The 4,382-nt window shown below is 38.1% G+C and overlaps 1 annotated feature.

The window, feature by feature from the left end:
- Positions 2,995-3,563: an enhancer, noted in NCBI's record as "OCT4-NANOG hESC enhancer chr8:127105809-127106377 (GRCh37/hg19 assembly coordinates)". NCBI's record gives its function as "activates a minimal SCP1, AML or CMV promoter by ChIP-STARR-seq in primed H9 embryonic stem cells {active_cell/tissue: H9 hESC(primed)}" and the evidence as "EXISTENCE:reporter gene assay evidence [ECO:0000049][PMID:30033119]".

The following is a 4,382-nucleotide window of genomic DNA, read 5'->3' as shown; positions in this document are numbered from 1 at the left end:
TATTTTATATTATAACTCTTTCTAAATTGGAAATGACCCAGACATTCAATGAGTACCTCAAATAATTTTAAGATTTTAAATCACGCAAAATGTTTATTTATAAACATTTATTTACATTAATTTAATTTATTTATTTTTATCAGTTTATCTAGATTACTCTTGAGAATCAAGATAAATTATTATTTGAAGTATTTTTATTAATTATTTTTATAGACTGTAAATATTAGATATTCATCTAAGCAAGAACCTTAAAGCTAAACACGTGGACATGTGTTTTGCCAATAACTCAGACAATGTAGCTATTTTTATTAAACCAACAATATCAAATTAGTCTTGCTTATTAAAAAATCACACAAAGATCATTCAGGCTAGGGCTGGGTTTAGGGTCTTACCAACTTTATGTCAAACCCTGACACCTTAAAATATCTAGCAGAAGCAAATAGAAAACTTATCTAATGAGTAAACCCAGGCAAAAATGTGTCTGACACTTTTGAAGACATTTTTCTTTTTATCTTACCAATAATTTCAAAGCTAGCTTATTTATTAACAATTATTAAATTCATGTGGACCTAAAAAGCATTCAGACTTATTTCATTTATAAGTACTCATTTCCTTATGAGCCAATTTGGTAGCATGCTGGACACAATATATAACACTACATGTACATGTACATGTATATAAACACATTTAAACATGTATAAGCACACACAAAGATCCAATAGCTTTACTTCAGAACTTTATCCATGAGACAGCATCAAATCTCATTATTTTACAACAGACAGCTGGATCCAAATTATATTTGACAAAACTGGGACCTATTCACATGGCTAAACTTTTCCCTAATAGGCAATCCAAGGAAGGTTGTGGACCAAAACTTTGGGTAAACAGTTTCTATAACAGTTTTATTTTTAAAAAACCTCTTTTACCCCCTTTTCAGTTTCAAATGAGCTTTTACTGTTTACATTTTAGCTACAACTGGTTGAACAATATAAGAAAAACAAAATCTCCAAGTATCTTTCAATTAGTGAGTTTTATCTCAACATTGGTAGCTTAGTAACAGCAGATTCAAAGCAGGTAGAAGAGGAAAGAGAAATAGAGACATTTAAAAGACTCTCCTTAATGCTGTAGCTGCAGATTAACCATTTGAGCTCTGAAATTCTTTGTCATAATTTTCCATCAGTTTTTGTTTGTTTGTTTATTTGTTTGTTTTTGAAATGGAGTCTTGCTCTGTCACCAGGCTGGAGTGCAGTGGCGCAATCTCAGCTCACTGCAACCTCCACCTACCGAGTTCAAGCATTTCTCATGCCTCAGCCTCCCCCCTAGTAGCTGGGACTATAGGCGTGTGCCACCACACCCAGCTAATTTTTGTATTCTTAGTAGAGATGGGGTTTCACCATGTTGGTGAGGCTGTTCTCAACTCCTGACCTCAAGTGATCCGCCTGCCTCGGCCTCCCAAAGTGCTGGGATTACAGGAGTGAGCCACCTTGCCTGGCCCCATCAGTTTTTAAATTTGCACAAGAATAGGCCATAATATATAACCAGCTGGAGTTCTAGAAAACCTGGCATGCCTTTGAACTTTCGCAGGAGTTTCTACCCTTTCTCCCTTTCCTGCTGTAACAATTTTTGAGAGCCAGTTTTATTGCAACAACAGCATATTTGCTGTCCTTACCATACTTTAATATCTTAGCTTCTTACAGTATGTGCTCAGTCCCTGCCAAAGTTTTCTGAGCATCTTTGTACTCACGTGGTGGCCCACAGAGGTTGAGCAGTCAGGCAACTCCACCCTTGGTGCATGTTGCAAACCACCCCGGATTTCCCATGCACACACTCCTTCCTGACTCATCGTTTGGTTCCTTGGATCCTATTCATGACACCAATTGTTACAAGAAAGACTTGGGACTGTAATGTCCCCCACCCCCAAACTGGGAAGGTGCTGAGAGACCTAAGAATGACTCAGACAAGTCCAGCTTGACAAGTAGATGAGTTTATTAAAACTTACATACAGGGTACTCCTGGACTACAGCAGGACAGCTCTAGAGATCTGCACTACTTCTGTCTCTAAACTGTTTTTAAGCTACTTTTCTCGCTCTTTGTCTACTGTGTTTGAGCAATGAGACTAGTTTTCTTGGTAGATTCTTAGACACTCTCCAAATGTTTGGGTTCTCAGGGATACCTGCTCCTCCACTGGGCACCAGGGCCTTGGTTCAGCACCCAGCCTTTAGGGTTTAGGCAGCAGACATACACCCCTTAAGTAACCTGGTGGGCGATAGATACATCACATTATTAGCCTCAAGTAGAGAGTTTCTACCAACCCACGGTGGGTTGGTAGAAAAAGTCAACAGAAAAACATCTCAACCTCACTTTCTCTCCCTTTTATCTCCTGCTTCCCATTAGCCAAACCTGAGTGTGAACCACAGGGCAAGAGGTGATGCCATCAATAAACAAGATAGCATAGGTAAATAGGGAGAGTGAATTTGAGGGGAGAAAGGAGGTTAAAAGAAGATTTCCCATGCACCTACCATAGGCCAGGTCTGTGATAAGTACTAAAAACAGAAATATGATGTGGTGAATTCCTGTCTTCAAAGAGCTTATAGCCTAGTGGGAGACTATTGTATCACCAAGTGGCAAATGTATTGAGAGACGTAAGAAGTGGTTGCCACGGACATGCAGGGGAGCCCATTTGGTGAACTAAAGGTTGGCATTAATGGATGGGGAAATGCTGGAACTGAGTGGTACTGGAGCCTGGGTAGGAGCATAGTCTGAACAAAGGGAGCTTGTGCAGCAGGGAAGGCAGGGAAAGAGTTATGACTTTCCCAAATAAGAGAATGGTATGAGCAAAGCCCTTAAAATGGTGTTTTCAATGTTTTAGCAATAAAATCACAAACAATGGCTCTTAGTCCTAGAGTACTAAAAAGTGGAGAAAAAAGTAAAATTCATACCACTAAAGCTAATTTTAAAATAATGTTAGTCATCTGCTTATATTTCTTGAAGTTCATCAGGCAGGTTCCACGCTGGAAACCAATAGTGTCCAGAAATATTTCTCAATATTCTTTTTATCTCATCTGTGGTCTCACACACTGTAGTTACTTCCATACCTGTACTAAACAAGCAAACAAAAACAAATACACAAACAAATGTAAAGACAAAGAGAAACAATCCCATCTGTTCAATTAGGACTCTTTGCATTGCAAATAGCTAAACCAACTCTTCCTCTTGCAAATAAAAGGGGATTAATTAGCTCAGTAACACAAAGTTGAGCCCTGCTGGATCCAATGGGTTGAATTGTTTCCTCCTGATATTGGCTTTGTGTTGGTTCCACTCTCAGGAGGCTTCTCTCTTTGATTGGCAAGATGCAGAGGTGAGTGGTTCCAGGCTTCAGTGTCTTAGATTCAGATTCAGAAGAGAAAGATCGTCTTCCTCAGGCCCTTCAAAGACCCTGGAATCTCTCTGTTCCATCTGACTTATGCCACTTGTTTATTTCTGAATCACCGTGGACAAGCAGATATGTGCCACCTCCCAAGTCCAGATTTCAGCCCCACCCTAGAACCACATGAATGGGAACTGGGAGGTTACAACTGCAGACAGTAATTTGGACACATTTTTTCCTAAACAAATGAAACACATGTAACCAATTCCACTACCAAGGGCGGTCTGTACTCCCTGCTATTTTCCATTTTCTCTTCACTGTATTCTCCATTAACTATCCTTTAATCCAAGATTTGTCTTGGAAAATCAGAACACTCCTGCTTGTCAGGGGAAGGAGAGAAGAGAAGTGAACATATTCATAAAATTGTTTTGACCTTATCACATACATTGTTTCATTTCATTACTACAGCCAACTCTGAGGTAACAACATATCCCCACCCATGTAGATGATGGAACTAAGTTATAGAGAGTAAAGCAAGAGACCCAGTTGAAATTAGTTACAAAAGAAAGCTTTGTGATATCATAGTGATGATCAATAATAAGAGAGAAATTCTTCGAGACTTGGCAATAGTGTGGTTACCTGCAACAGACCTGCTAGGCACCCAGGTATAAAGAGAAAGTTGCTTATAAGGAGGAAAATCAGATTTTCCTAATATCTACTAGGTAACAGATGCTCATAGAAGGAGAACGCTCCTTTTACCATGCCACACTAACAGAAAGTTTTCTTTATTGCTTTTTCTATTTCTCCATCTCTACCATCTCTTACTTATAGCTTACTTATAGTAAGTTAAGATCTAATTTTTTTTTATTATTATACTTTAAGTTTTAGGGTACATGTGCACATTAAGATCTAATTTTTTTCTTCTGCTCTTTAAATATAATAATGATGAATTAACTATATATTTACATGTACATATTTTCAAAAATCAAGAAATAGCAACAAATAACAAGTTAAT

The sequence above is a fragment of the Homo sapiens genome, chromosome 8 (genome assembly GCF_000001405.40).
Source record: "Homo sapiens chromosome 8, GRCh38.p14 Primary Assembly".
NCBI classification, from domain to species: Eukaryota; Metazoa; Chordata; class Mammalia; order Primates; family Hominidae; genus Homo; species Homo sapiens.
This window is presented reverse-complemented; position numbering and strand designations above follow the sequence as displayed.